Source organism: Homo sapiens, chromosome 10, assembly GCF_000001405.40.
Source record: "Homo sapiens chromosome 10, GRCh38.p14 Primary Assembly".
Classification (NCBI taxonomy): Eukaryota; Metazoa; Chordata; class Mammalia; order Primates; family Hominidae; genus Homo; species Homo sapiens.
Window position 1 is genome coordinate 86,935,386 of NC_000010.11, and position 27,890 is coordinate 86,963,275.

Here is a 27,890-nt window from a genome sequence, read left to right on the forward strand (position 1 = left end):
TCCAAGTGTTTTATATAGAATAAACGGAAATCATTCTACATAACAGGGCCTGGAATAATCAGTCACATTTACCCACATAGTTTCACGTTGTCCCATGTTTTTTTTACCTACTCTACCAATTATTTTTGCCCTCCAGAAGTAAATGAGGCAGAGATTTGAAGGGCATCACTTTATTCCAAAGTTGATCATTAGTGAGGGGGATTTTTACAGTCTTCTTTCCCTCCTCCCTCAGCTGCCTCCTGGTTAGAGATGCTAACAAGAATTACGATGGTCCTAAGATACTGGAGGAAGTAAAAAAGTTGAAGGCCCTACATATTTTAGTTCACGTTTGGCATTTCTTGGTCTTTACCCTATGTAAGGCAAGGAGAAAAAGACATGAAATTTAAATTACAGATAAACACAAGTGTATTAGTCCATTTTCACACTGCTATCAAGAATTGCCCAAGACTGGATAATTTATAAAGGAAAGAGGTTTAATTGACTCACTGTTCCACATGGCTGGGGAGGCCTCAGGAAACTTACAATCATGGCAGACAGTGAAGAGGAACCAAGGCATCTTCACAAGGTGGCAGGAAGGAGAATGAACACAGGAGGAACTATCAAACTTATAAAATCATCAGATCTCGTGAGAACTATCACAAGAACAGCATGGGGGAACCGCCCCCAAGATCCAATTACCTCCACCTGATCTCTCCCTTGATGTGGGGATTATAGGGATTACAATTCAAGATGATATTTTAGGTGGGGGCACAGCTAAACCATATCCTACAAGGAATGACTGAAACTAAAGATACTAATTTCCTTTCCCTTGGTTGGCCAGGCTGTCGTCTTCATTACTGACTAATAGAGACCAAGCAGGTTGGTTTAATCCCATTGCCCTCTAGTGCTTTCCAATGTTGGCCAAAATGTTGCCTCCATTTTAAACATTCCTCCTGGGGAAGAATGTCTTTCTATCATACGATAAGGGAGAAGAGAAGAGGAAGCAAGAGAAAAGTTTAAAGTGTTGTACAGAAGTTTCCAACCACAGGAGGAGCAAAACACCAAAGAAGTTGTAGAATACAGGGTGTGGTGAAGAGTTGGAGCCCAGGCCGTGCTGTCTGAGAAGGCATGCCAAGCCAAGGTTCAGGCTTCCTAGGACCATGTCCTGCCCGGAGAAGCATTCCAGTCCTTCTCATCATGGAGAAATGGCCAAGCCCCATGTGGTTACAGGGAAGCCACGTACACCACACCATCTTTGCAGAAGGTTTCCAGGGAAGAGACAGACCAACTGAATGACCTCCAGCCCATCCTTGGCCAGAGCCCCAGGCCGAGGAGAGCTGGGCGAGTCCATGATGTCTGATCAGATTGGGGCTGGGGTTCAGGTCTTAAACATCAGGAAGCCCCCAAATGCAGTGCCCGACAGGCTTCTCTTTGTTATTGATCCCTGGGTTAACTCAAACCATACTCGCTCACCCTTCTGCAGCTCAGCCATGGCAAAGACCGTTGCTGTGCTTCCACTCCCCTGCCCAGTGGTACAGACTGGAGTCCGATGGTGACCTCCAAACACCAGCTGCCCGGTGCCTGGCCCTGGGCCAAATTCAACGCTCACTGCAAACAGGTAGACACCACGCTCAGGGGCTCGGAAGTAGCCATGTTCAGGGAAGTAGCTGCTGCCAATGTTGATGTATGTGGTGTTGAACTTCACTGTCTGCAGGGCAGCCGTCCCTTCTGAAAAGCTGGCATAGAAGGCCACAGGGGATCCTGAAACATAACAGGACAGTGCTTAGTGATTCATCCCTTACACCATTGGGTGGGAAATTAAACCCTGAGACCTACCGTCCTCACCTTATTAGCAATGGAAATAGGTCACTATTTCTAGATAACCTAGATATTCCCAACAGCAGTGTTATTGCAGGAGAAAAGCTAGATGGCCAATTCTGTTTTTCACTAATAGAGAGGAAGGAAAATGCAAGTCTGTTGTCTGAGCTGGTGTACATTTTAACAAAATACTTTCATTTTTTTTTTAGACAGGGACTCACTCTGTCTCCCAGGCTGGAGTGCAGCAGTGGTCATGACTCACTGCAGCCCTTTTTTTTTTTTAACGTAGAGATGGAGTCTTACTATGTTGCCCAGGCTGATCTGGAGCTCCTGGGCTCAAGTGATCCTCCAGCCTCAGCTTCCCAAAATGTTGGGCTTGCAGGTGAGCCACCATGCCCAGCCACAAAGCACTTTCTCGTTTGATCCCTTTTCCTTCCAACTTCCTTGAGAGACAGTATCCCTGATTGACAAAACAGGTTGAATCCTTCACCGGCTGCCCAAGGCTACATGGTTTGTAAATGGCAGGCTGGGACAGGAACACGGGTCTCTGACTCCCAGACGACCACCACTTGCTAGGAATCTTGAGATACTCAGGGGAGAGGGAGAAAATATCCATCCTCAAGGTAATAATAATGCTAACACTGGGAAGGTATCTGCAGAGCCATGAAGGCTGGATCCTCCTGGATGTTGAAGACAGAACCTTGGAGAAAGAAGGAAAGAGCAGGTGGAGCCAGGGAAGAGAAGCCCCTTCAAGCTGGTCTTCTTTTTTTTAGTTGATAAAGGGTCTCTTGTTGCCCAGACTGGAGTGCATTGGCGATCATGGCTCACTGCAGCCTCAACTTCCTGGGCTCAAGCAATCCTCCCACCTCAGCCACCTGAGTAGCTGGGTCTACAGGCATACGCCATCATGCCTGGCTAATTTTTTATTTTTTGTAGAGACAGAGTCTTGCTCTGTTGCCCAGGCTGGTCTCAAACTCCTGAGCTCAAGCGGTCCTCCCACCTCAACCCCGCAAAGTGCTGGGATTACAGGTGTGAGCCACTGTTACTGGCCAAGCTGGTCATCTTACATATGGGTAAATTGAGGCCCAGAAAGAAAAAGCTTATTGCTCCAGACCACACAACTAGTAAATTACCAAGCCTCCTGGGAACAGACCTTGAATCTCTAGACTTCTGGTTCTCTGCAGGGACCACTTTGGCCAGCCTTAGGACAGGAACACTGACAGAACACTGGTGCCAGGCCCATGCACGGGCACAGAAGCAGAGGAAGCTGCCATGTGTGGAGGGTGTACAAACAGCCAGGAAGAAGCCAGTCCTGCTGCCTGGACAGCATGGTTGGGCAGCTGGGGACAGGGTCATGAGATGGCACAGGAAAGGTAAGTCCTACTTGGGTCCTGGCTGTGACACTGGCCTTGGCACCAACGAGGTCATGTCCACCATGGGGTTCCTCAACTTGCTCCCTCTGTAGGGGTTTAAAACAAGGTCCCCATTTCTTAGGTGATAAAACCAAAGCCTTCAGAGGAGCAGTTTGCTGAGCAATTACTGACTTGGGTCCCGGAACTCAAGCCTCAGCTCTTTGACTCCCAATCCAGCAAGCCTTTGTGAATAAAAAAATGTTGCTTTTCTCTAGTTCTGGAAGATTTTCTGAGAATTAGACAGCTGAGAATAGCTTTCTCATTTGTGTTCAGATTGTGTCAAATCAGCCGGGCGCAGTGGCTCACGCCTGTAATCCCAGCACTTTGGGAGGCCAAGGCGGGCGGATCACCTGAAGTCGGGAATTCGAGACCAGCGTGACCAACATGGAGAAATCCCATCTCTACTAAAAATACAAAATTAGCCAGGCGTGGTGGGGCATACCTGTAATCCCAGCTACTTGGGAGGCTGAGGCATGAGAATCGCTTGCACCCGGGAGGCGGAGGTTGCCGTGAGCCGAGATCACGCCGTTGCACTCCAGCCTGGGCAACGAGAGTGAAACTCCGTCAAAAAAAAAAAAAAAAAAAAATGCCGGGCGCAATGGCTCACGCCTGTAATCCCAGCACTTTGGAAGGCCGAGGTGGGCGGATCACGAGGTCAGGAGATAGAGACCAGCCTGGCCAACATGGTGAAATCCCGTCTCTACTAAAACTACAAAAATTAGCTGGGCATGGTGGCAGGCGCCTGTAATCCTAGCTACTCGGGAGGCTGAGGCAGGAGAATCGTTTGAACCCGGAAGGCGGAGGTTGCAGTGAGCCGAGATCGTGCCATTGCACTCCACCCTGAGCGAAAGGGCGAGACTCCGTCTCAAAAAAAAAAAAAAAAAAAAAAAAAAAAAAAAGATTGTGCCCAAGTCAGAGGCCGGCGGCTGCCTCTGCAATTCCCCTAACACCCTGCAGGTGGTTCTCTTGCCTAGCCGAAGGAAGGCCGGCCCGCAGCGCCCTCTACCGGTGCTAGGCCCTCGTTCCGGCCGTTCCGTCCGGGCGCCTGCGCAGGGAGTTCCGCCGCAGAGAGAGACCCCCACCCCAACCCAGCCTTGCGCCTGACAGGCCCTAAGATGCGGGAAGGGCTGTGCAAACTCAGAGTGTGCTTCCCTGCAGGGCACACATTCAAGCCCTACAGCCTTCCTACAAACAAATAAAGGGAAATTTGGGGTGTGTGTGTGTGTGTGTGTGTGTGTGTGTGTTTGTGTGTGTGTGTGTGTGTGTGTGTGTTTGAGACAGAGTCCTACTCTGCCGCCCAGGCTGGAGTGCAATGGAGCTATCTTGGCTCACAGCAACCTCTGCCTCCCAGGTTCAAGCGATTCTCCTGCCTCAGCCTTCCAGGTAGTTGGGATTACAGGTGCCTGCCACCACACCGGGCTAATTTTTTTTTTTTTTTTGACAGTTTCGCTCTTCTTGCCCAGGCTGGAGTGCAGTGGCGCAATCTCGGCTCACTGCAGCCTCTGCCTCCCGGGTTCAAGTGATTCTCCTGTCTCAGCCTCCCGAGTAGCTGGGATTAGGCGCCCGCCACCACACCCGGCTAATTTTGTATTTTTAGTAGAGATGGGGTTTCACCATGTTGGCCAGGCTGGTCTTGAACTCCTGACCTCAAGTGATCCACCCGCCTCGGCCTCCCAAACTGCTGGGATTATAGGCATGAGCCACTGCGCCCGGCCTGGAAATTTGTTTTTAAGAACAACATTTTTTTGAAATAAATATCGTCGTGGTAAACACATTTCCAAACCGTGGGGCAAATTCTGAAAGTCATCAGCATATTGAAGCCTTGCACCACGCACGAGAGGAAACAAGAGAGAAGTGTCAGTGTCGGTGGACACAACCTGAACCCTGAAAATGCTGGGGAAATGGGAAAACGTTGACTGCGTTCCTACATGAGGTAAGCCTCGTGCTAGGTATTTGGTAAACGCAGCAGTCTTCATAACAAAACTTTGACATGGGTAGGGATTCTGCCATTTTACTGAGGAAGAAACAGACAAGTGATGCCAGAGCCTGGGTGCTTCCCACTGCTCCACATTGCCTCTTGGGCCATAGGGAGGGTCAGCTGGGGCAGGGGCTGCCTGGGACGGGACCTTCAACAAGGCCTTGGACTTGCCACACGCCAGGCTGCACATGGCCAAGATGGTGGCCTTGTACTTAGCCCTGTGTCTGGGTGGGGAGAGGCCACAGCTCCAAGGCCAGCCTCTGGCAGAGAGAGTCACTTGAGACACAGAGCCTAGTTGTCCCCCTCCCGGGACCACACTCAGGGAGGGGATGGGAAGCTTGGTTGCACATGCCTTCAGCCTCAAAGCCAGCTCCCAGGCCCAGGGCCCTGCAGGGACCAGCCATGGAGGGCCTTCTGGAGGTGAAGAACCGGCACCCTAAAGACAGCGCTCCTCTGCTGCTCACTAGCTGTGCAAGCAGGAAACTTGTGTTTGCGCCTCAGTTTCAGGTAAGATGGAAGTGCTGATGAGTGTGTCATTGACCTGTTGGGATGGGCCATTGTGGTAAAGCCCAGGAAGGGGACTAGCACAGAGCGATGAGACAGGTTAACTGTATTTGCAGAGGGAATGAGCTCCTTTCAGGGCCCACGGCTTTCCCTGTACAGTCCACTGAGGTGTGTTCCAAGACCTTAGCAGGTGCCTGAAATCTCAGACAGTACCAAACCCTATATATACTATTTATTTTCCTCTATGTACATACCTATGCCAAAGTTTAACTTGTAAATTAGGCACAGTAAGAGATTGACAATAATAATAAAATATAAAGCAATTATAACAGTATACTGTAATAAAAGTTATATGAATGTGGTGTCTCCCTCTCTCAAAATCTTATTGTACTGTACTCACCTATTTTCTGATCGTGGTTGATGCAAGAAACTGAAATCAAGGCTGGGCACATGGCTCACACCTGTAATCCTAACACTTTAGGAGGCTGAGGTGGGCAGATTACTTGATCCCAGGAATTTGAGACCAGCCTGGGCACCATAGCAAGACCCTGTCTCTACAAAAAGTACAAAAATTAGCTAGGCATGGTGACACATGCCTGTAAGTCCTAGCTACTCTGGAGGCTGAAGTGGGAGGATCAGCTGAGCCTGGAGAGGTCTAGGCTGCAGTGAGCCATGATCCCACCACTGTACTCAAGCCTGGACGACAAAGTGAGACCCATCTTAAAAAAAAAAAAAAAAAGAAAAGAAAAAGAAAAAAAAAACAAAAAAAAAACTAAAATCATGGAAAATGAAACAGAACTAAGTGGGGCTGCAAGTGGCCACAGTCCCTATCCACATTCTTCCTAGATACAGTGGCTTAAACGCACATGGGAATGAAGGGGGTGAGGTGAAGAGATGAGATGGGGGGACTTGAAGGCTGCCCTGGCAGGGCAGGAGGCGATGCCCTCTCTGTAGCAGGAGCAGTAGGCGGCACTATTGTGCCTGTGGCCTCCAGGCTATGCCGCTCACGGGCTCTGGCACTAGCAGGTGGTTCTTGTGACTTCTGTCTCCCCATAAGCCAGGTAGCTTGAGAGACCCACACCCCTGAGAAGCAGGTGGGCCAAGGGGAAGGTGGACCTAGTAGGGGTGACGGATGGCCATCCTGTTCTCTTTCTTCCTGGCCCTCTTGGAGGCAGAAGAGCTGCCGGCAGCCGGCCCTGGCCTCCTAGGCTCGTCCAGTCTCCCCAGCCCAGGAACTCACCTGCCTCCCAGAGCGCCGCGCCCAAGGCACCTGGCACAGGCCCTGTGACCCGTATGTCCACCAAAGGCTCCGCTTCCTTCTTGTCCCTCTTCCGGGGAGCTTCCAGGTCTTTCTGCTGCTTCTTCCCTTTCCTGCTCAGCATGGTCTGCAGCTTCCCCAGGTCCAGGCTGACGTTGGCTTCCATGAGCCCTTGGAAGTTCCCAAAGAGGCTGTGGAAGAGCCGCTGGTGCTGCTCCAAGCTGCGCTGAGTGGCGAAGAGTGCGTTGTGGAGGCCGTGAAGGGAGGCGTTGAGGGAGGCGGCCCCGGCCCCGGCCTCGGCCTCGCAGCACCGCCCGACATTCTTGACGTCGTTGCTCAGGCTCTGGAGCTCCCGCGCCAGCCCGGCCAGGGCGGTGGTGGCGGCCTCCTCGCGGCCCGCGTCGTGGCTGGGCTCCAGGTGCTCTGCCGGCCGCGGGGGCTCCGAGGCCTGCTCCAGGGCCGTCACTCGGGCGGCCAGCTCGTCCCAGCCGAGCGCCTGCTCCTGCAGCCCGCTAGCGGCGTCCTGCAGGGCCACGCGGATCTGCTCGTAGCTCAGGGGCAGCGGTCCCGGCGTCTGCTCAGACATCTCCTCCAGCACCTCCTCCCCGAAGAGCGCGGCCAGCACCGCCTCGTGCCGCAGCGCGTCCTCCAGCAGGGCGGCGAAGGCGCTGTGCAGCTGGCGCACCTCGTGGCGGGCCTCGGCCGCGGCCGCCTTCAGCGCGCCCACCTCGTCATCCAGCGCCTGCACTTGGCTCCGGAGCCGCGACGTGGCCGCCCGCGCCCGCTCGCCCTCCGCTTTGTGCGCGTCCACGGCCAGCGACACGGCGTCCACGGCGTTCTGCAGGGCCTGCAGGGAGGAGCCGTCCAGCTGCCGCCGCTCGTCCAGGCTCACCTGGGTCTCCTCCAGGGCACGCGTGGCGTCCCTCTGGCCCTCCCGGATGACGTCCAGGTCTAAATAGAGCTTCTGGCAATTGCAGTCCTTCACGTACTTGATGAGGTCGGCATGGCCACCCTGCAGGTGCTGCAGCGTGAGGTTGAGCTCCAGGAGCTGCCGCTCCACCTCCTCCTTGTTCTCCTCCATGATCAGAGACTTCTCCATCAGGATCACGCGCAGCTCACGGAGCGCCGTGTGGTTCACCTGCAGCTCCTCCACCTGCCGCTCCACCTTGCTAATCTGATCGAAAGTCTCGTCCGATTCGGAGTACAGTTCCTTGATCTCATCCACGTGCCGGGTCAGGGTGGCCCTCATGTCCTCCAGGGTGTACTGCAACTCCTCCTCCCTGCGGGCCGTGGTCATGTGCAGCTCTGAGAGGTTCCTCTGCAGCTGGCCCAGCCTGGCCTGCAGGCTGTCCGGCTCAGGCCTTGCCCCAGCCCCAGGCGTTGCCAACACCAGACTGCCATTGGTCCCTGGGGCCTCCTGAGCCTTGTGCAGCCTCTTCAATTTGGTGTCCACATCGGCTTGGAGCTCTGAGATCGAGCGGTGCAGGGTAAAGTGCTGGGCGTGCAGGCGGTCCTCCACGTCCTGTCGCAGCTGACCCACTCTCTGAGTGTTCTCCTGGACCTTGGCCTCAAATTTGGCACCAAGCTCCTGGAAGTCAGCCCTGGCCACGGCACTGTCCTGGACTCTGGAGATGGCCTGGCGGTTGGCCTCCACGTCAAGAGACAGGTTTCTTATGGCCTGGGTAAGGCTGTGCAGGCTTTGGTTAAAGCTCCTCCAGATGGGGCTGAAATGCACTTGTAGGAAGGTGTCCACGTGGGGTAGCAGCACCTGCTCCAAGGATCTATCAGGGAACTCTGCAACAGACATGTGGTGTGACACAAGCCCTGCAGGAGCAGACACTCCTCCCAGGCTGGGACCAGCGGGGTCCTCCCCTCCTCCCCTCAATGTGACCAGGCTCTTCCTCAGCCCCTAGAGCCTGCCACTCACCGTGCCCTGTTTGATTTGCTTCCATCACTGCAGCTGTGAGGTTACCAGGCAGGGCTTTCCACAGGCCTGGCAGGCTGTCTGCCACCCGGTGCACATCATTCTGGAGATCTCCCAGCAGATGTTCCTGCTGTTCCTGTTGCACCTCAACCTCATTGATCACTGCAGCAAGGTGGCCTAAATACACAGCAGACATAAATGTCAAGGGCTAACTCACCAGGCCTGGGAAGATCACAAGGTTCAGAGAAGGAGAGTTGAAGGCTGAGAGCAGGGAAGTTAGCTGCTGATGTCCTCTGAGCAGGAGCTTAGAAGCCTTAAACCCCTGGAGGGCAAATGCATAGCAAGTGAGCCCTCACCCTGCCTCCTACACCTACAGCAGACATGACTAATCAATCATGGTACACTCCCCTCCTCAGCACATGCACATGGCCTCACAACTTCATTCTTGGCAGCCCTTGTCAATAAATACTTCACCACATAATGAAACTCATTTACTTTCTCAATCTTGGGCCCAGCCTTAAAGGGCCCTGCTGCAAATGGTGTCTCTTGGTGGGTTTCCTGTGCTGACTCCAAGACCAAGGACAGCATGACTTCCTGGCTCTGGTTAGGGCTGTGGGAAAGGGTGAGAATGCTTTTTCCAGGCACAAGGGCTTGTGTGGTTCAGCGGGGCAAGGAAAGTGCCAGATGAACCAGTCCTTCCCAGAAGATGGGGTGAAGGAAAAGGGTGTGTGTGCTTGGCCAGTAGGCCGCTGGGGGCCCTGTGAGCCTGGCCTTCAAGGTGGGAGGTGGTACAGGCCACAGAGCAGGCCTTGCTGATTCTGGAGGCAAGGTTTCCCTGAAATGGCACTGCTGTATCACAGGAAAAAGGGCCAGCTGGCTACATGGGCCCCACCAGCCTGCCTGCCTTCCCCTTCCGGAAAGCAACACACCAGGTTTGAAGCTGACTGGTCCATCCTGAGGTTCCTGGTGGCTGTCACCAGGATCTGCAGGCTCAGGGATTGCCATGGAATCTGCAGAAGAAAGCATTAGTTATTGACCCCAGTGGTCAGAGGAGCTGCTTGACCTTGGGGATCAGAGGTCAAGGGGGGAAGGGGGCCGCAGGGAGCCCTACCGTGGTGCTCGCAGTTGGGGCCCGTGTAGCCAGGGCAGCACCTCCAGGCCAAAGAGGTCAGCACCTTCTGCTTGACCTGGTACACTGGCTTGTGGGCCATGCGGTACCTGGAAGAGGAGAAGGGCTGGCTCAGTGATTCCAGGGAGGGCCCGCTCCAGGCCTGGGCAAATGGCCCACCCTCCCCTACTCACATGACTTTGACTTTCTGGCAGTCTGGAGCTCCCTGCGGACACGGCTGCTGCGAGTGGATGAGGAATTTCTCTGTTTTGCAAAGAGCTAGTAAGGTGACCAGCTTGGACATTGGGTAGGGGCACCAGTTACTGGAAAACAAGCCAGAGGAGAAGGCTGCTGAGCCACACCCAGGTCAACAGGGGGTGCCAGTGCAGAGCCACCGGTCCTCGCCTCCTGCCGGAGCAGTGCTGGGATTCTGGAATCCATTATCCTGAGAAGAGAGCCTTCCGCATTATTCATCCCTGGGCTCCAGAGCAAATGTTTCACAATCCCTACCTGCAAAGAGGGCACCTGCTCCACCACCTTCCCGAAGCCTCCCCGAGCCAGCAGAGAGGCTGAGAAACCCACCACAATCTAGAACTGTGAAAAGCAGCTCCAGGGTGATGATTGTTTTAGCCAACAAAACTAACAGCCAGAGTGTGGGGAAAACACCGTGTGCACTGCAGCTGTCTGCATGGATTCCCTTTGGTGAGGTTAGCCACAGAGCCAGAAAGCTCTCGCTGTTTCTCCTGCTACCAACGTGCAGCTGGGGCTGGAGAATCCTGGGTTCGAATCCCTCACACTTTCTGGCTGTGTGACCCTGAGTGAGGCACTTAGGGAGCTTCTCTTTCCCCATCTATACAATGGCGATCGTAATGCCCTCCTTTAAGTGGGCAGAGAAGCACCAGGTGCCTGGCTCCTGACAAGCGTTCTGTGAACACAGCTCCACTGCCCCATTCCAGCTGCCCTGGCAGCCTGCCCAGTTGCTACTTACATGAGGGACCAGCTCCCTGGCCATGCCCATTAGGACCATTCTAGAAAGGGACTTTCAAACAGTTGTCCTAAGGAAAGGTAAGCAGCTGGGTGGAGCAGTGTCCTCTCTGGGATGGCCACCGCATCAAGGTCATGCAAGGTGGTTGGGGGTCACACTCAGCATCCCGCACACCTGATAGGTAGCCCTTCCATCCTGGCCCTTCACCAGCATGTACTGTGGTGGTCCCAGGAGCGGGGGGACACTCATGCTGACAGAGCCCCAGTTCACAGACCCAGTGGCTGACTCCATGGGGTCAGTGGCAGTGGTCAGAGAGCCCTTCCCCAGGCAGCCAGCTCCCAGAACAGAGCTCGTCAGAGTTGAAAGTGGCAATGATCTCTGTGGCACAGTACAGCTCAGCACCTCTTGGGTGCCGGGTGCTGCACTCAAGCTCAGGGTGTGGATGTGGAGGTGCAGACTTTCCCTTCAGGATCCCCAGGGAGAGCGGGCACTCTTAGAATGGGTGAGAAGTGCTAGGATCTGCAGAGACTTTCAGGAGAAGGAGCTAATGGGGCTGTGTCTTAAGGCCAGAAAGTCGGATGAGGCACCAGATGTGACAGGGGTGCAAGAGGGTGAGGAAGGGGCTGCAGAAGGAGGCTGGGATGAAGGGAGAAGCCAGACCTCAGCGGAGGAGCTGGCCCATGTCCTGAGGGCATGGGAAATCATGGAGGGGTTTCAGCAGGGAAGTGGCATGAAAGAGCCACCCTGGTCCCTGGGTGCAGAGATGATGGGAGGGCAAGACGTTGGCAGCTGTGTCCACGGTCTGGGGAGAGATGATGGCAACTTGGACTGAGTGATGGTGGACATGGGAGAAGTGGCCACATTTGTGGGCTCTTAGAAAGCAGCATTCAGAGGCCTTGGTGATGAAGTGGCTGTCAGTGCCGGGATTTTATTCTCTGGAGCCGGTCTTTGTCCTGGGGCCATCAAGCACTGTCACACAGGGGATAGTGTTGGGAAAGGCAGGGGCGGGGGATTCGAGTGACTTTTTTTTTTTTGAGACGGAGTCTCGCACTGTCGCTTGGGCTGGAGTGCAGTGGTGCAATCTCGGCTTGCTGCAACCTCCACCTCCCAGGTTCAAGCGATTCTCCTTGCCTCAGCCTCCCAAGTGGGCTGGGATTACAGGTGCCCACCACCAAGCCTGGCTAATTTTTTTTGTATTTTTAGTAGAGACGGGGTTTCACTATGTTGGCCAGGCTGGTCTTAAACTCCTGACCTCGTGATCCACCTGCCTCAGCCTCCCAAAGTGCTGGGATTACAGGCGTGAGCCACTGTACCCAGCCGAGTGACCATATTTTGAGTGCTGAGTCCCCAGCCTGCTTTACCCTCTCAGCAGCAGACTGGAAAAGTTTCTCAGGAAAATAAGCCAGCCCGAGAGGAAAAGACCCAAAGCTGCTGACAGCAGGGGTTCTCCCATAAAAATAGCCAACCAGAAGATCCTATGACAAAATGGGTAAGAAAGGAGTATTCATACACCCCAGCTTCCAGTCAGTTTCTCAGTCTTTCTCCTCTTAAGTGAGCAGACATCCAAGATTTACCCAAGAAACACTGTATTCCAAAAGAGGGCCAGGTACAGTGGCGCACGCCTGTAACCCCAGCACTTTGGGAGGCTGAGGTGGGAGGATCCTTGGAGCCCAGGAGTTTGAGTCCAGCCTGTGCAACGTAGTGAGACCTCATCCCTACAAAAAATTAGCCAGGTGTGGTGGCGCATGCCTGTAGTCCCAGCTATTCAGGAGGCTGAGGTAGGAGGATTGCTTGAGCCCAGAAGTTTGAGGCTGCAGTGAGCCATGATTATGCCACTACACTTCAGCCTGGGTGCACAGCAAAACCCTATCTCAAAAAAAAAAAAAAAAAAAGAGGTTGAAGTGGGCAAACAAAAAAATGTCAACCTGGACAAAAACTAAGACTGTGTAAGGAGAAGAGAACCACTCAAACATTTGTACTAAGATTTCCAGGTTGATAAAAGAAATTACTGCACCCAAGAAACAAGACCAGGAAGCTATGAAAAAAACAAATGAGGGGGAGATGGGAGAGGAAGCGTGAGCATTCAGAAAACAAAAAGGAACTCTTGGAAATTAAAAACGTAACAGTAAAAATGAAAATAAATTTAATGGAAACGTTAGAGGGTAAAGTTAAAGAAATTTCCCTAAAAGAGCAAACAGAGAGATGAAAATTGGAAAGAGAAAAGAAAAATAGACGACCAGTCTTGCAAATGTAACATCCAAGTAGTACAAATTTCAGAAAGAGAGAACAGATGGAGAAAATCATCAATGAAAAAAAATCAGGCCGGGCATGGTGGCTCATGCCTGTAATCCCAGTATTTTGGGAGGTTGAGGCAGGAGGATCACTTGAGCTCAGGAGTTCGAGACCAGCCTGAGCAACATGGCAAGATCTCAATCTCCACAAAAAAATTAAAAAATTAGCCAGGTGTGGTGATGTACACCTGTAGTCCCAGCTCCTCAGATGGCTGAGGTGGAAGGGTCCCGTGAGCCCAGGAGGTTGAGGCTTCAGTGAGCTATGATTGCGCCACTGGACTCCAGCCTGAGCAAAAGAGCGAGACCTTGTCTCAACAACAAACAAAAAACATATTCCAGAAGTTAAGGACTTCAATTTCCAGATTAAAAGCACCACCAGTTACCTGCAATATGATGAAAATACACTTACATCAAAACATGTCATATGAAATTTTAGAACTCTGGGAACAAAGATGGTTTCTACGTGCTTCCAGAGAGGAAAACCAAGACAAACACACTCATACAAAATCAGTAATTGGAATGGCTTTGAACCTCTCAACAGCAATATTGGAAACTGGAACACAGTGAAAATTGCATTCAAAATACTGAAGAAAAATAATTTACAACCCAGAATCTCATATCCAGCCTAACTATGAACCAGTGTGGGGAGTGAGAATAAAGACATTTTCAAACAACCCAGGTTTCAGAACATTTACCTCCCATGTATCCCAGTAGGAGACTACCTGATGAGCAGTGGTTTGAAATATTGCCTGCACATCAACACCATCATGCAAGCCAGGTGTGGTGGCTTGCACCTGTAATCCCAGATACTCAAGTGACTGAGGTGGGAGAACTGCTTGAGGCCTGGAGTTTGAGATCAGCCTGGAGACATAGTGAGACCCCATCTCAAAAAAAAAAAAAGACACCCAAAAACAAAACCATTGTGTGACACTTTAAAAATAATAGTCTTGGGGCTGGGTGTGGTGGCTCATGCCTGTAATTCCAGCACTTTGGGAGGCCAAGGCAGGTGGATCACTTGAGGTCAGGGGTTCCAGACCAGCCTGGCAAACATGGCAAAACCTTGTCTCCACTAAAAATACAAATATTAGCCGGGCATGGTGGTGCACGCCTGTAATCCCAGCTACTCGGGAGACTGAGGCAGGAGAATCACTTGAACCCGGAAGGCAGAGGTTGCAGTGAGTGGAGACTGTACCACTGCACTCCAGCCTGGGTGACAGAGCGAGACTCCGTCTCAATAATAATAATAATAATGATAATAATAATAATAATAATAGTCTTGGGCCAGGTGCAGTGGCTCATGACGATCATCCCAACACTGGGAGGCCGAGGCAGGAAGACTGCTTGAGACTAGGAATTTGAGACCAGCCTGGGCAATATAGTGAGACTTCATCTCTACAAAAAATACAAAAAATAATAAAAAGAGGCCGGGTACGGTGGCTCATGCCTGTAATCCCAGCACTTTGGGAGGCCGAAGCAGGCGGATCACGACGTCAGGAGTTTGTGACCAGCCTGGCCAACATAGTGACACCCTGTCTCTACTAAAAATACAAAAAATTATCTGGGCATAATCTCCTAATTATCCTAGCTACTTGGGAGGCTGAGGCAGAAGAATCGCTTGACCCGGGAGGCAGAGGTTGTGGTGGGCCAAGATCACACCATTGCACTCCAGCCTGGGTGACAGTGAGAGACTCCGTCTCAAAAATAATAATAATAATAAAAAGAAAGAAAAATAATAGTCTCCTAGATCCCCTGAGCTTAGGGCCTGAGCACCAGCATTTTAAGGCTCTCTGGGTAATTGCATGGCACACCCAGGATGCAGAACCGTGGTGTCACAGGAAACACTCTAACAAAACAACAGAGAAAATCAAGAAAGAGAAAGCACAAGATCAGGAAACAGGTTCCAACACAAAAACCAGGTGAAGAGAGCCTCCAGAATGACAATGGGCTGTGGTATGAGGGCAGCAGTTCACATTGGAACACACCTGGAGGCTCTGGGAGCCACATCTCCAAGAAGATGCAGCTGATCTGACACCTGGCATGAATGAGTGTAGAGAGCAGATGTGGACAACTGGCTGAGGGTGTGGAGTTGAGTTAGTGATAAAGACACAGAATAAGCAGAAGAAAAAAGCAAGACATGAAATTTTAGAACTCTGTGAGTTCTAAATTTTTACTACAGGGAAAACCAAAAGTGTGCAAGGGGGCAAAAAAGTTTCACAGTTTATTTCAAGGCTTAATGCTGAGCAGTACACATGGCCCTATGGATGCGTGCACATGCATTTGCTTTGGGGTAGGAATGAGATCTAGCTCATAGATAATGCTACTTCCATCCCAGCTACTCGGGAGGCTGAGGCAGGATAATTGCTTGAATCTGGGAGGTGGAGGTTGCAGTGAGCCAAGATCACGCCATTGCACTCCAGCCTGGGCAACAAGAGTGAAACTCCATCTCAAAGAAAAAAAAAGATAATGCTACCTCCTAAGAAGTAGCAATGCAAGCATGTTCTTTAGTGATACAGAGGTAAATGCAAAAGAATCACCTGCAAAGTTGAAAGTCATTGCCCTTGGGACCAGAGGGAGCTGGGGCTTCTGACTGTCTCAACAAGCCTTATAGAACCAGTTGACTCCTAATCAGGAGATCAGCAAACTTTTTTTCTAAGGGTACAGGTAGTAAATATTTGACACAAGGCCAGCTACATAATCTTCAGGGCCCAGTGCAAAATGAATATGTGGGGCCTCTCCTTCAAAAAGTATGAAGAATTTCAAGATGGTGACACCCAGGGTGGGGCCCTCCAGAGTGCAGGGCCTTGTGTGTGACTGCACAGGTCACATGCCCCTGATGCTGGCCATGGTTTCAGGCTTTCCAGGCCACATGAACTCTGTCCCATCTACTCAACTCTGCCATTGTACCACAAAAGAAGTCAATGACAACATATAAATGAACCAGCCTGTCTGTGCTCCAATAAAACTTTGTTAGCAAAAACAGGTGATGGGCTGGATTTGGCCCACTGGCCATAGTTTTCTGACCCCTGCCTATGAGTATATATAACTAATAAAAATGAAACTTAAAAAAAAAATCATTTTCATCAGGAAGAGAAAATGCAGATGAATAATCAAGAACAGTTTGGAACCTGGACACAGTGACTCATGCCTGTAATCCCAGCACTTTGGGAGGCCCAGGCAGGAGGATCACTTGAATGCAGGAGTTTCAGACAAGACTGGGCAACATGGCACAACCCTGTCTCTACAAAAAATACAAAAATTAGCTGGGTGTGGTGGTGCACACCTCTAGTCCCAGCTACTTGGGAGGCTGAGGTGGAAGGATTGCTTGAGCTGAGGAGGTGGAGGTTGCAGTGAGCCGACATTGAACCACTGCACTCGAGCCTGGGTCTGCCCTGTCTCAAAAGAAAAAAAGAAAGAACATTTTGAAAGAAAACAATGAGTAGGGAGTTTCTCTCACAACTATCAAGACCGACTCCAAAGCCAAGGAATGAAAATGATGGGGCGTTGGCTCAGGATTCGATATGCCAGCCAGTGGGAACAGAGACCAGGAAGGGGCCAGTGCATCTCCAAGGGATCAGTCAACGTAAAAAGGGGACACCTCACGATAAGGATGGAAGGAAGGAAGGAATGCTCACTCAACACTGAAACAGAGAGCTGGGAAGGCGCTGGCCCCAGAGCTCAGGAGCCACAGGTGTCATGCTTGCCTGCACAGACATCCACCTGGGGCCCCATGGAAACTCCTGGAACATGGGCTCAGTATTGGGGGAACCCACTCCCAATATTTCAACATACATTCTTTCTATTTTCCCTAAGTGTCGACTGGTCTGAGAAATAAAGAGAAAGAGTTCAAAGAGAGGAATTTTACAGCTGGGCCTCCAGGTGTGACATCACCTATCGGTAGGACTGTGATGCCCACCTGAGCCGCAAAACCAGCAGGTTTTTATTAAGGACTTCAAAAGGGGAGGGGGTGTATGAACAGGGAGTAGGTCACATGCTTTAAGGGGCAAAAAGCAGAGCAAAGATCATATGCTTCTGAGGAAACGGGGCAAGGACAAAATCAAAAACTCCGATAAGGGTCTACGTTCAGTGGTTCCATGTATTGTCTTGATAAACATCTTAACAGAAAACAGGGTTTGAGAGCAGAGAACCAGTTTGATCTCAAATTTACCAGGGCTGGGGTTTCTCAATCCTGGTAAGCCTGAGGGTACTGCAGGAGACCAGGGCATATCTCAGTCCTTATCACAACCGCATAGGACAGACACTCCCAGAGCGGCCGTTTATAGACCTCCCCGCAGGAATGTAATTCTTTTCCTAGGGTCTTAATATTATATTCCTTGCTAGGAAAAGAATTTAGCGATATCTCTCCTACTTGCATATCCGTTTATAGGCTCTCTGCAAGAAGAAAAATATGGCTCCTTTTGCCCGACCCCGCAGGCAGTTAGACCTTATGGTTGTCTTCCCTTGTTCCCTAAAATCGCTGTTATTCTGTTCATTTTCAAGGTGCACTGATATCATATTATTAAAACACACGTTTTACAATCAATTTGTACAGTTAACGCAAAATCACAGGGTCCTGAGGTGATGTACATCCTCAGCTTATGAAGATAACAGGATTAAGAGATTAAAGCAAGACAGGCATAAGAAATTATGAGTATTATTAGGGAAGTGATAAATGTCCATATTAAAATGAAATCTTCACAATTTATGTTCAGAGATTGCAGTAAAGACAGGTGTAAGAAATTATAAGAGTATTAATTTTGGGAACTGATATATGCCCATATTAAAATGAAATCTTCACAATTTATGTTCCTCTGCCGCGGCTCCAGCCTGTCCCTCCGTTCAGGGTCCCTGACTTCCCGCAACAGCTCAGCCCTAGGGAAAAATCTCTCTTAGACCAGTGGTTCTCAATGGGAGGAGAGGGTACTTTCCCCAGGTGCATTGTCACGACTGGGTGGTGGGTGCTACTCATGACTAGGTATCTCATGGGTGGGGCCCAAAGATGCTGCCAAATACCCTACAATGCATAGGACATCTCCACACCCCACCACAAGGAATTATCTAGTCCAAAATGTCAGTATGCCAGGGCTGAGAAACTCTCTCTAAACAAACTTCCATTCCTTGCAAACCTCTGACCTACTGCAGAGGGCCTGGAAGGCGTGTGCCCCAGGCACGCCTGGCCTGGTCCAGCCTGCCAGGAGTGACTGGGACTTTCCACCTCAAGCTCCTGGAAGTGGAAACTATGCCGCCCACCCTTCCTGCCCAGGAACTTTCTCCGCTGACCTGCCCAGACCCTGGGCTTCAGCACTGCTATTCTCTCTGCCCATGCTCCCCACCCTGGGCAGGCCCTCCCTTGGCACAGTACAGGCTGCTGGCCCAGAACCCTGGGAACATTCCTGACCTTTGCTTTGGCTTCCTCCAGCTCTTGGCAGCTTCTGGCTGGCCCTTGATGCCCATGCCCCCGGCCCAACTTGCTGAAGTGCCCATTTTTCCCTCTGCCCCTCCGTCTCAGGCTGGCTTCATCTTTGTGCCCTCCCTTGGGGAGTCCTGCTGGGTGCCCTCATCTCCCAGTGGCCAACCCAGAGTGGATGTGGGGCTCCTCTGGCCTGGTTTGGAGCTGCCCTTGGTCTGCTGTGGCCCCAACCTGCTGCTCCACCCAGATAGGAGGGTACGTGGACTCCTTTGGAGCTTTAAATGGAAGCTGGGCGGCCTGCGTTCTCCTCTCCTCCTCCTCCCTGAACCCACAGTGACCTTGGGCAAGGCCCTTCCCCCATCATCGAAATGCGAAGAAGCTGTGCCTCTGCGGCACACAGATCAGAGCTGGTGTGGGGGGAAGGGAGAGGGAGCCTGTGGGAGGGGGAGGGCGCATCCATTATGCAGATTGTGTGGAGTGCCTTCCCTTCCCCAGCCAGGAAACGCCCTCCCAGGGGCCCTCAAGTCTTCCTTGGGAAGGAAGGCGTGTTCTCAGCAGCCTTGTTTTCTGAGGCCCTGAAGCCAGCCATTAACTTGACCATTCCAGGGGAGAAACTCACAGGATTTTGTCCTTGAGTCAGAAAAGGGCCTTGGCAGAGAAGCCTGAGGCTCTCAGGGATCAGCCCAGAGCTAAGAACCCCTGAGCGTGGTTCTGGAAGCTTCAGCTCTGGCCAGTGGGGGTTCTTCCCTGTTCATACCAAGGGCTCTGTGCCCGGCAGGGGTCGGGGGTGGGGGTGAGGATGGGGGAGGAACAAGTGCAAAAGGTGCATCGTGGCCCAGAGAAGGCGGCCTGTGCTCTGCCCTGCTCCTGTGTGACCTCCAGTCATATGCTGGACTCCTCTGGGCCACAAGCTCCCAGCTGGGAAAATCTCAGTGCTCTTTGTGTAAGGGTCAGGAGAAGCCTGAGGCTGGTGACTGGGGCCAACCAGCCTGCTGGCAGCAGCATCCCCTACACGGCCACCCTCTTGGGGGGACAGGACAGCCTGGGTGGGCCTGGGCTCTCACTGTCACTTAGGAGCTCTGTGGCCCTGGGAGGCGTCCCCACCCCTCCAAGCTATCATAGCAATGTGATAGATGGGACACCTTGCCTGGGGCTCAGCACGGTCCCTACCGCAGACTGAGTTCCACTGGGACAGCAAATCCTGGGTCTGAGGCACCCACATTCTAGACATCCCCAAGCCAGGGCACAGAAACAGCCTCTTCCTCCCGGAGTCCTAATGCTCAGGCTGCTGGCTCCCTGGGCTGGGCCCCTCGGGGTCCCTGGCAACCTAAGAAGCAGTTAACCCCTTCGCTTCTCCACCTCAGGGAAGTCTGAGGACGTAGTGGTTCTATTCAAGCTTCTCCTTGCAAAGGGTCTTATTGGGGCCTGCATCCTGGGCCCAGCCTAGCCCTGGGGCTCTGGAAACAGATGTAAGTGGCAAAGGCAGGGCAGAATGCCTGGCCCTGGCAGCCGAGCCTCCTTGTGATGGTGTTGGTGTCACCACCCCTGCTAGCAGAACCCAGTCTGCCTCCCCTTCCCATGCTGCAGGGACAGGGTCTGGAGCACGCTTCCACCTCCCTGGTCACAGGAGCAAGGGAAGTAATCAGCCCAGGAAGCCGCGCGTTTCCTTCCTTTCTCACCAGCCCATCCGGGTTTGGTGAGAGAGCATGGACTTGCCCTGTGGAGACTGCAGCTTCTGGATGTGGGAAGGAGAGCCCTGCAGGCAGGGGGCTTCCAGGCTTGGGACACCTGGGCATTCCTGGGCCAGGTACATGCACCCTCCCACTCAGAACCCCAGAGAAGGACTGCGGGGCCCCTGCAGGGCTGCCCATCAGCAGTTCCCAAACCCTCACTCCTTGGGGCTAAGGGAGCAATGTCTCTCCCACAACCAAGGGGGTGGGGAGGAAGAGGAGCAGCTCCCTCCTCCCTCCCGTCCACCGGGTCCTCTCATCCTCCCTTTCATCAAAAGGCGGAAGGTGGCCTGAGACTAAGGCGTGGAGCTTCCTTGGTCCTGAAATCAGAGCGGAGTGGCTGGATCCAGCCCGCCCCTCCCCCGCCCCCTGCTCCCCTTGCCGCCCCACCACCGAGAATCACCTGCACCTCCCAGCCCTGAGCAGAGTTGGGGGCAGGCGGGAATGAGGTTTCTCCATGGCCAACTGCTCAGCCACTGTTCCCCACGCCACTGCCACCAGACCCTCACTAAGGGGCCTCTTGCCCCTCCCTGGTCAAATCTGTTTTCAGGAAAGCACCCAACAAACCTGCAACTCAGAAGCCAAATGAGACCTATCCCAGGCAGGTCCGCTCTGCGATGGTGGCTCTCATACACCGCACAGAAGTGTAAGTTGGCCCCCCCCTCACTCCCTAAATCCATGTAGATGCCCTTAGCCAAACAGGTCTGGTGTGTGGGGGCAGGAGGGTGGAGGTAGGAGCATCTGGGGGCTGGGGCTGGCTCCAAGTGCTGCAGAGAGTTCACTATGAGCTCTGAAGTCAAACTCAGATCCTGCTCCTTAGCTGTGTGGCCTTGGGCAAGCCCCTCAGCCTCTCTGAGCCTCAGGCTCCTCCTCTGTAAGTGGGGCTGTTGGAGGGATGAACTGAGATACACGTGGCAAGGTGCCTGGCCCTGAGACTGGGGGCCCCGTAAACAGCACCTGCTGCTCTGACTGAGGGGCAGTTGGAGATGAGGGGGGACTTACAGGCCCAACACCTCATCAGCAGGATGGGCCCTGGCTCTGTACACATAGAATGTTGGAAAGCTATGTTCTGGGTCCAGTTGCAAGACCATCCTGCCCACTTGCTGGGTCGCTGAGGCAGAGCGCCCTGGACTGTGCTCTGGAGAGCAGGGGGCCGTCTCTGCTCACTGCTGGGCAGTCAGAGTCAGGTCCCCAGGGAACTCAGATCAAAATCTCAGGGCAGCCTTGCTGGGTCTCAGCTTTCAGAATTGATTTCTTTGGAAGAACAGGAGGCATAGCCAGGCCAGCTGGCAATGGCTTCAGCCACAGTCCCCCAGTGCCCCATGCTGGGTGATTGATGGTAGGAGCTGTGCCTCCCTGCCAGCCCCCCAAGCCCCATTCCCTGCCATGGCTCCGACAGGGAACTCCCTGCAATTCTTAGGTGGATCCTGAAACACCCAGTCCAGACTACTTTTTCAGCCTCACAGATGGCCCAGAGATAGATACTATTAGCCCATTTCACAGATGGGACCCCAGTGAGGTCTAGAGAGGCTCTGCTCTAGCTGAGCTGGGACTCAGATCCTACTCCATGACCTCTGCCAAGGTCCAGGCCCTCTTACCGTCCTACGGGGTCCTTGCCGGTGTCCTCAGCCTCTGCCTTCCAGACCCCAGGTGTCCTGGAGCTCTGCAGATCAGAGAGGCTAGTACTGGAAGCCTGGGCCCATGCCCCCAGCAGCCCCCAGCCCAGGGGGCCCCCAAGGCTGAACAGCAAGCTCAGGATCATCTTGGTGGTGGGGCAGGCTCAGCTCACACTCAGCCTTGGCAAGTAGCTCCAGAAACTGCTAGTGACGTTGTCTTCAAGTTAAATCTCAGGAGGAAAAGAAAATACGAGGACAACAAAGAGAGGAAGTGGCCTGGGCCGGCCTACCCGGTGGGTCTTGTCCTGCCCCCCAACTACCCTGGCTGGCCCCACAGGGGCCGCCAACCACACAAGCCAGTTCCTGTCCCTGAGGACTTGGCTCAGGGACTCTGGGAATGTGGTAGACATGGGGTGGCCCCACCAAATGCATCCTTATGGGAACCTGCTCCCTGGGAGCCATGAAAAGAGCGTGGACTTCGAGGTGGGGCCACAGGAAGTGGTCAGGTCCATCTCAGGGGACCTGCTGCCCATCCACACTGCTGGCCAGGAAATGGGGGGCAATTCATGCCTCCTCAGCACCTTCAGCACTGGGCGGCTCAAAGAAGGGAAGGGACTATTCTGGGGTCACACAGCATGCAGCCAGAGGCCAAGGCATGAGGAAGTCCTTCATTTCCCCACCCCCACCCACCTCAGATCCTCCAACCGGTTTCATGGCAGCCCAGGGTCCAGCGGCATCCAGGATGCTGGTGGGTAGCTGCACAGCCCAGGCCGCGGGAGGTTGGCTGCTCTCACCTAACAGGCCTATGTGGCCCTGACCCCTACCTAGGAAGCTGGGGACAATGGCCAAGGCGCCTCCCCTCTCTGTGCCTGTCTGTCCAGGTGCAGCATAGACACAGCACCCCTGGGGCCAAGAGCACCCAGCCAGGGCTGCCCCCATGGGTGGGCAGGGCAGTAAATGAATGAGGGACAGGTTGGGAGGTGGCCAGCCCCCTCCAGCCCATGGAGGGCACGGGGCAGGAGAGCTGGGCTGAGCCAGCAGGAGCCCAGGGAGCCTGGTCTCTGCCTTCCTATCCTGGAGGAAGGTGAGGCTGAACCTCCTTCCCTCCCTCCCTCCCTCCCCGCCCCCACTGCACGCAGGGCTGGCTGGGCTCCAGCTGGCCTCCGCATCAATATTTCATCGGCGTCAATAGGAGGCATCGGGGACAGCCGCTGCGGCAGCACTCGAGCCAGCTCAAGCCCGCAGCTCGCAGGGAGATCCAGCTCCGTCCTGCCTGCAGCAGCACAACCCTGCACACCCACCATGGATGTCTTCAAGAAGGGCTTCTCCATCGCCAAGGAGGGCGTGGTGGGTGCGGTGGAAAAGACCAAGCAGGGGGTGACGGAAGCAGCTGAGAAGACCAAGGAGGGGGTCATGTATGTGGGTAAGTGGGGCATGGCAGGGTGGGACAGTGTGGTGGCCAAAGGGTGAGTGCCCAGTTACCTTCGCCAGACCTTACTCCCCAGCCCCAGGGAGGCATTTTGGGAGGGGGCGAGGCCCTGGCTATCAAGGTGGGGTCTCCAGACCCTGGAGCACCCACAATGCCCTGTGCACACCTATGTGTGTTTGTCTTTGGCCTCCTCGGGGCCTCTGGGTGTCAGAGACCGCAGACAGGGCTGGCTACCTGTCTGTGCACGCACACACACATTCCCAAGCATACCAGCCTCCCCTGAGCCTGGAGCCCCTGAAGCCATGAGCAGCCTGTGCTCAGGTGGCCCCCACCCTCTCCACACGGGAGCGGCTACAGCCAGGTCACGGATCCCCTCCCTCCCCAGAGAGAAGGGGCAGGCTGGGGGATGAAACCTAGGCTCAGTGTTCCCTCCCCCGCATCCTCTCCTGGCACTCTCCAGAGGAGGAAGGGGAGGTCAAGCCAATGACTCAGCTCTGGCCCATCCTGTCCTGTTGCTGCTTCTGAGGCCCGGCCACACCCGGGCAGGGGCTGGACCCTGGGTCTAGCCAGTGTCCCTACCTCAGGCCTGCTCTCTCTTGTCCCCCACATTCTGTCCTGTCCCCTTCCCATCCATCCACTTCTTCCAGACACAGCAGGAAGAGGCCCTCTGAAGGGGCCGCCGGCCCCCAGACACCATCCTTACCCCCCCACCGACCCCACAGTTTGTCCAGCTGTTCTGTTGTGTTTGTCCTGACCGCCCCCAACACCTCGAGGGAGGTCTGGGCTGACAGCTCCATTTCCTCCCCAGGAGCCAAGACCAAGGAGAATGTTGTACAGAGCGTGACCTCAGGTGAGAAGCCCCAGGGCCAGGGGACACATGGGGGATAGGACCCCTGGGGCTCCTGCATCCTAGTGCTGGGGCTCAAACCTAGAGTCCTGCCTTACCCCCAACTGGGGTCCCAAGCCCTACAGACCCCTGCAGACCATGAGGCTAAACTAGGGTGGGCGTCTCCTTACCCCCACCAGCATCAGAGGTGCCCTGGAGTCAGAGGGAGCAGGGGAGGGTCCCAGCAGGGCCAGGGCTCTGAGCTCCTGGGAAGGGGCTGCGAGCCTGACTCCAGCAGGCCTGCCTTGGGGCTGGGGCTGGGGTGGAGGCCAGCCAGTGTCCTCCCATAGTGGCCGAGAAGACCAAGGAGCAGGCCAACGCCGTGAGCGAGGCTGTGGTGAGCAGCGTCAACACTGTGGCCACCAAGACCGTGGAGGAGGCGGAGAACATCGCGGTCACCTCCGGGGTGGTGCGCAAGGTGAGCCCCGGCCCTCAGACCTGCCCAGTCCTCTCCTGGGCCCAGAAAGGCTGCTGGGCGGAGGCGGCATCACTCCACTCCACACCCCAGGAAACAACACGGGGGGCTGCGGCTGGCTTCAGTTTCAGTACCCACTGAGCGCCGGCATGGGGTGGGGTCCATGCTTGCTGTTCGACCTGCATTCGGGTCTGGAATCACCACAACCACCCCTTCGGGGGACTTGGGAGCCCATCTCATAGACAAGGAAAGTGAGGCTCAAAACCACATCTTCCGGACGGCTCTCAGCACTTAGGAGACACCCCATTTTATAAGTGAAAACAGGATCCCACACGGTGACAGGCAGCCTCCCGGGCAGTGGTCACCAGGCCGGGGGCTGAGTAGCACCAGCCCCGCCCCCAGGGCCTAGCCTCCCTCCCTGGGCTGGGCGGGGCAGCTGCCTCCTGCTGGGAGCCTCAGGGAAGTAGCGTCCCCTAGTGGTAAGAAAGCAGTGCTGCTTCTGACCCTACCCTCTGCAGCTGCCTTTGTGTGTGTGTGCACGTGTGTTGAGTGAGCATGTGGGTGCATTTGTGAGAATGTGTGGGTGTACATGCGTGTGAATGTACACATGCGTGTGCGGCCCAATAGCAGACAGCACAGGAGCAGTGGGGCGCACCCCAGGGACGGGTGTTGGCTGGGTGAGCTGTCCCAGCACCTGTGACACAGCAAGCTCTGCTTTACGCATTGTACGCTTATTAGTTCATTTAATAGACACAAAATCCATGAGACGGTGTGGAAACTAAGGCCCAGAGAGATTAATGTGCCCAAGGTCCCATGGCTAGTTCATGTGAGCTTGGAATTCCCCTGAGCAGCCTGTACTCTGAGAGACCCTGTGGCAGTGTAAGTGGTGGCCTGGGCTAGGATTCCTACCTGGGGGTGGGGCGGGGGAGCAGTGTCCAGCTCTCCTACCTGCTCCAGGCCTCCTAGGTGGTGGAGTCTGAGGCTCTGAGCACTGAGAATCCCTGCGTTAGGAGTGGGTGGGTGGAAGGGTGGGGGCTGCCCTACTCCTCTTGGCTCTGGGGCGATGCCCAGGTGTCTGCTTCCAGGGCCAGCACAGGGTCTCCATGTCCTTGGAGCTGGCAGCCGCTCCCTCTCCTAGTTCCCCTTTCTCGTCGTATGACCTTGAGAAGCAAAGGAACCTCTCTGGGCCTCCGTGTTCTCATCTGCAAGATGGGGGTGAGAGTGTCGGCCTCCCTGGGCTGTGTGATGAGGCAGGGCCATGACCTCCATGAAGCAATTCTCCTGGTCTATGTGAGCACCCAGCAGAGGAAGGTGACCATCATCATCATCATCATCATGTGTCCCAGGCAGAACACATAGAGCCCCAGGGGGCTCCTCCCTCCTCACCCCCAGCAAAAGAGGCCCTGGGGTGAGGGTGCCCGGGCATTCCTTGTGAATCCCGGAGCAGGGCTAGTGAGCCCTTGGAGCCACCTCGAGGGAGACTCATTTCCTGGTGACACCCCAAAACCAGTCACGACTCATCTCCCAGTGAACTGTGAAAGGCCTCAGCAGGGACTATCTGACCACTCATACCCCTGGCCTCATCATCAGCCTTAGGGCAGCAGGACTCAGCAGGTGGCCACCTGCCCTGCCCCTGGATAGCCTGGCCGACTCCCGCCAGCACAGCACTGCCCTTTTATGCCCCACTCCGCCAAGGGGCAGGATGGCCCTGGGGCAACACAGAGGTGACAGTATCCCCGCCTCCCCCCCGTCCCCCGCCAGAGGCAGGTGCTGAGGCCAGAGTGCAGGGCAATCACCAGTGTGGTCCTACACACCCAGCTGTCATGATATCTCACGCAAGTGTCTGGCCGGCATGGAGTGCAGGAGATAGAAGATGGGAAGTGAGAGAGGACTGTGTAACCTCTGCTGGCCCTGACCAGCCTGAGCCCAGAGCCTGTCCAGGAGGCAAAGAGAGGGAGCCATGCTCCTGTGGACTGAAGTGGGCCTGAAGCAAGCCTGATCTGATGCCAACACACCCCACCACTTTGAGCTCGAAGGCCCTGAGCTGCATGCCAAGCCTCCCTGGCCTCAGAGTCCCTATGTGAACCCCAATCAGTCTTCCTTGTAGGGCTACTGAGGGTGGGGTCAGACCTGGGGCTTCAGGGGCCTCTGCCCACTCTAACCCCCACTCCACCCTACCCCACCCAGGTTCCTCATCAGTGAAGCCCAACTAGGGGCTTCCCAGAGACTGGGGACCAGCTTGAGGGGTGAAGCTGGGCTCCAGGGTACTTGGTGCCCCTGGAAGGCCTCGGCATCATCAGAGCCCCGGGTATTGTCTGAATTGCACGCCCCCAATACCTCCAGCCCCTCCAAGTACAACAAGGCCACGAGGGGCCTCTGCTCCTCCTTGAGGCCAGGGTAGACAAGGCCCTGGTTGCAGGGCAGCTAGGGGTCTCTGCATTCTCCACATGGTCTCATGCCCCCTTTTGTCCCCTACAGGAGGACTTGAGGCCATCTGCCCCCCAACAGGAGGGTGAGGCATCCAAAGAGAAAGAGGAAGTGGCAGAGGAGGTAGGAGCTGGGCTCCTGGGGTGCACCATGGGGGGTTCCTTGGTAGGGACCCCATCCCCCACAGACGCACTGCTTCCCTCCTGGGCTCCCAGGGCCCAGAGGGGCCTCCTGACCTTCCACAGCCCCTACAGGGACTGTGTACAGGGCTAACCCTGAACCTGAGTGGGAGGTCCCCCCACGGATGACCCCTCAGGCATGGGGCACAGAAGACAACTTTTCTCAGCCCACTCAGGGTGGCCCATTAAGGCTGGGGCCTGGAGCTGGGTGTGCAGGTCATTCTCTCTCCCAGGCCCAGAGTGGGGGAGACTAGAGGGCTACAGGCCAGCGTGGATGACCTGAAGAGCGCTCCTCTGCCTTGGACACCATCCCCTCCTAGCACAAGGAGTGCCCGCCTTGAGTGACATGCGGCTGCCCACGCTCCTGCCCTCGTCTCCCTGGCCACCCTTGGCCTGTCCACCTGTGCTGCTGCACCAACCTCACTGCCCTCCCTCGGCCCCACCCACCCTCTGGTCCTTCTGACCCCACTTATGCTGCTGTGAATTTTTTTTTTAAATGATTCCAAATAAAACTTGAGCCCACTCCTGCCATGCTTCCTCTGGG

General features: G+C 54.5%; 2 protein-coding genes across 4 annotated transcripts, besides 10 other annotated features; one reads left to right on the top strand and one right to left on the bottom strand.

Annotated features, from left to right (window-relative positions):
* Positions 155 to 22,230, bottom strand: MMRN2 (multimerin 2). Its single transcript, NM_024756.3, has 7 exons — positions 21,993 to 22,230; positions 10,176 to 10,304; positions 9,985 to 10,091; positions 9,803 to 9,883; positions 8,877 to 9,050; positions 6,932 to 8,743; positions 155 to 1,740 (listed from the first exon to the last, which is right to left on the bottom strand). The coding sequence occupies exons 1-7, from the start codon at positions 22,154 to 22,156 to the stop codon at positions 1,358 to 1,360; spliced, it is 2,850 nt and encodes a 949-aa protein (NP_079032.2). The 5' UTR covers positions 22,157 to 22,230; the 3' UTR covers positions 155 to 1,357.
* Positions 4,067 to 4,361: an enhancer, noted in NCBI's record as "tiled region #4131; HepG2 Activating DNase unmatched - State 4:PromP, and K562 Activating DNase matched - State 4:PromP". NCBI's record gives its function as "activates a minimal TATA promoter and a strong SV40 promoter by Sharpr-MPRA in HepG2 cells, with weaker activation in K562 cells {active_cell/tissue: HepG2 | K562}" and the evidence as "EXISTENCE:reporter gene assay evidence [ECO:0000049][PMID:27701403]".
* Positions 4,505 to 4,554: an enhancer, noted in NCBI's record as "active region_3698". NCBI's record gives its function as "activates an Ori minimal core promoter by ATAC-STARR-seq in GM12878 lymphoblastoid cells {active_cell/tissue: GM12878}" and the evidence as "EXISTENCE:reporter gene assay evidence [ECO:0000049][PMID:35858748]".
* Positions 4,984 to 5,484: an enhancer, noted in NCBI's record as "H3K4me1 hESC enhancer chr10:88700126-88700626 (GRCh37/hg19 assembly coordinates)". NCBI's record gives its function as "activates a minimal SCP1, AML or CMV promoter by ChIP-STARR-seq in primed H9 embryonic stem cells {active_cell/tissue: H9 hESC(primed)}" and the evidence as "EXISTENCE:reporter gene assay evidence [ECO:0000049][PMID:30033119]".
* Positions 9,259 to 9,832: an enhancer, noted in NCBI's record as "H3K27ac-H3K4me1 hESC enhancer chr10:88704401-88704974 (GRCh37/hg19 assembly coordinates)". NCBI's record gives its function as "activates a minimal SCP1, AML or CMV promoter by ChIP-STARR-seq in naive H9 embryonic stem cells {active_cell/tissue: H9 hESC(naive)}" and the evidence as "EXISTENCE:reporter gene assay evidence [ECO:0000049][PMID:30033119]".
* Positions 18,701 to 19,300: an enhancer, noted in NCBI's record as "OCT4-NANOG-H3K27ac-H3K4me1 hESC enhancer chr10:88713843-88714442 (GRCh37/hg19 assembly coordinates)". NCBI's record gives its function as "activates a minimal SCP1, AML or CMV promoter by ChIP-STARR-seq in naive H9 embryonic stem cells {active_cell/tissue: H9 hESC(naive)}" and the evidence as "EXISTENCE:reporter gene assay evidence [ECO:0000049][PMID:30033119]".
* Positions 18,947 to 19,241: an enhancer, noted in NCBI's record as "tiled region #565; HepG2 Activating non-DNase unmatched - State 20:ReprD, and K562 Activating DNase unmatched - State 5:Enh". NCBI's record gives its function as "activates a minimal TATA promoter and a strong SV40 promoter by Sharpr-MPRA in HepG2 and K562 cells {active_cell/tissue: HepG2 | K562}" and the evidence as "EXISTENCE:reporter gene assay evidence [ECO:0000049][PMID:27701403]".
* Positions 19,902 to 20,501: an enhancer, noted in NCBI's record as "H3K27ac-H3K4me1 hESC enhancer chr10:88715044-88715643 (GRCh37/hg19 assembly coordinates)". NCBI's record gives its function as "activates a minimal SCP1, AML or CMV promoter by ChIP-STARR-seq in naive and primed H9 embryonic stem cells {active_cell/tissue: H9 hESC(naive and primed)}" and the evidence as "EXISTENCE:reporter gene assay evidence [ECO:0000049][PMID:30033119]".
* Positions 20,374 to 27,873, top strand: SNCG (synuclein gamma). 3 transcript variants are annotated; one of them, XM_047425681.1, is made up of 7 exons: positions 20,374 to 20,471; positions 20,945 to 21,040; positions 23,150 to 23,433; positions 24,248 to 24,289; positions 24,616 to 24,743; positions 27,219 to 27,290; positions 27,580 to 27,873. In XM_047425681.1, the coding sequence occupies exons 1-7, from the start codon at positions 20,404 to 20,406 to the stop codon at positions 27,598 to 27,600; spliced, it is 711 nt and encodes a 236-aa protein (XP_047281637.1). In that variant the 5' UTR covers positions 20,374 to 20,403; the 3' UTR covers positions 27,601 to 27,873. The 3 variants fall into 3 exon arrangements, with proteins under 3 accessions (XP_047281637.1, NP_001317049.1, NP_003078.2); NM_001330120.2 differs by having other exon boundaries at positions 23,203 to 23,433; positions 24,564 to 24,743; NM_003087.3 differs by lacking the exons at positions 20,374 to 20,471; positions 20,945 to 21,040 and having other exon boundaries at positions 23,214 to 23,433.
* Positions 23,504 to 24,103: an enhancer, noted in NCBI's record as "H3K27ac-H3K4me1 hESC enhancer chr10:88718646-88719245 (GRCh37/hg19 assembly coordinates)". NCBI's record gives its function as "activates a minimal SCP1, AML or CMV promoter by ChIP-STARR-seq in primed H9 embryonic stem cells {active_cell/tissue: H9 hESC(primed)}" and the evidence as "EXISTENCE:reporter gene assay evidence [ECO:0000049][PMID:30033119]".
* Positions 25,304 to 25,904: an enhancer, noted in NCBI's record as "H3K27ac-H3K4me1 hESC enhancer chr10:88720446-88721046 (GRCh37/hg19 assembly coordinates)". NCBI's record gives its function as "activates a minimal SCP1, AML or CMV promoter by ChIP-STARR-seq in primed H9 embryonic stem cells {active_cell/tissue: H9 hESC(primed)}" and the evidence as "EXISTENCE:reporter gene assay evidence [ECO:0000049][PMID:30033119]".
* Positions 26,505 to 27,104: an enhancer, noted in NCBI's record as "H3K4me1 hESC enhancer chr10:88721647-88722246 (GRCh37/hg19 assembly coordinates)". NCBI's record gives its function as "activates a minimal SCP1, AML or CMV promoter by ChIP-STARR-seq in primed H9 embryonic stem cells {active_cell/tissue: H9 hESC(primed)}" and the evidence as "EXISTENCE:reporter gene assay evidence [ECO:0000049][PMID:30033119]".

What these genes read in the sequence shown, in the direction of transcription:
- MMRN2 (NM_024756.3), bottom strand. Translation starts at nt 22,156, where the DNA reads ATGATCCTGAGCTTGCTGTTCAGCCTTGGGGGCCCCCTGGGCTGGGGG. An exon ending in ACCAGTCAGCTTCAAACCTG is followed by an intron (nt 9,051 to 9,802) that starts GTGTGTTGCTTT and finishes CTGTGTATTTAG; the next exon opens with GCCACCTTGCTGCAGTGATC. An exon ending in AGCAAATCAAACAGGGCACG is followed by an intron (nt 8,744 to 8,876) that starts GTGAGTGGCAGG and finishes TGTCTGTTGCAG; the next exon opens with AGTTCCCTGATAGATCCTTG.
- SNCG (XM_047425681.1), top strand. Translation starts at nt 20,404, where the DNA reads ATGTGGGAAGGAGAGCCCTGCAGGCAGGGGGCTTCCAGGCTTGGGACA. An exon ending in GGAGGGGGTCATGTATGTGG is followed by an intron (nt 23,434 to 24,247) that starts GTAAGTGGGGCA and finishes TTTCCTCCCCAG; the next exon opens with GAGCCAAGACCAAGGAGAAT. An exon ending in CCTCCGGGGTGGTGCGCAAG is followed by an intron (nt 24,744 to 27,218) that starts GTGAGCCCCGGC and finishes TGTCCCCTACAG; the next exon opens with GAGGACTTGAGGCCATCTGC.